Source organism: Homo sapiens, chromosome 5, assembly GCF_000001405.40.
Source record: "Homo sapiens chromosome 5, GRCh38.p14 Primary Assembly".
Lineage (NCBI taxonomy): Eukaryota > Metazoa > Chordata > Mammalia > Primates > Hominidae > Homo > Homo sapiens.
The window spans coordinates 29,758,852-29,759,726 of NC_000005.10; the positions used below are offsets into that span (position 1 = coordinate 29,758,852).

At 38.7% G+C, this 875-nt stretch overlaps 1 annotated feature.

Annotated features, from left to right (window-relative positions):
* Positions 458–658: a silencer, noted in NCBI's record as "peak5213 fragment used in MPRA reporter construct". NCBI's record gives its function as "represses an SCP1 promoter by STARR-seq MPRAs in K562 erythroleukemia cells {active_cell/tissue: K562}" and the evidence as "EXISTENCE:reporter gene assay evidence [ECO:0000049][PMID:32103011]".

The following is an 875-nucleotide window of genomic DNA, read 5'->3' on the forward strand; positions in this document are numbered from 1 at the left end:
ATATATAGCTATATAAATACATATAGATACAGATGATGGACAGGTGATAAAGGGATAGATGATAGATAGATGTTAGATGACAGATGATAAACGATTAATAGAAAGGGAGACAGCTAGCTAGCTAGCTAGATACATAGAGATATCGTGCCAAGTCTGTCCCGCAGACTCTGGCTAAGCAACAAATGAAAGCAGTATGCTGACACAGGTATTTTGCCTGACAGCAAGGCTAGGGGACCACACAGCTCAGCAGCACCAGGGAGACAGTGCAGTAGCCAAGAGAGTGCAGCCCCCATAAGCTGGCTACAAATCGCCTTAGTCAGATTTAATGACTAAGGCTTGGAGCAAACACAAGTTGTGGGTAATTAACATTGTCAACCCCCCAAGTAGAGAGCAGTCCTGTGTGAGAATGATCAAAGGTTGGTTTCTAGAGACAGGAGTAAACACATTTATCTAGATAAATTCCTTTACATTCCCTTGTTATCTGCCCTTTGCTCTCAGGATCTGGATAAGAGGATTTGGCTGCCTTCAGTCATAATTCCCTCTTGAAACTTTTGCAAAACCTCCCAGACTTCCAAGAAGGTTTGTGTCATTCCCTGTAACTTTGTCTTACAACTTTTCTCACCACCCTGACTGAACTCTTACAATATAGAACAGGAGATGAGAAGGACTCAAGCTGAAACATGAACTGCTGCCCGTGAAATTTAATAAATGGGACAGAAGAAAAAGAAATCCTTTACTTATCTGCAATATGTTTTGTAGTAATATTTCATTTTTTTAAACATAGATATATATACAAAAACAAAATTTTTCAACATTTTGGGTTTTGAATATTCAGAGTCATATTAACATTACCTATAAAATGCTTATGATGATGC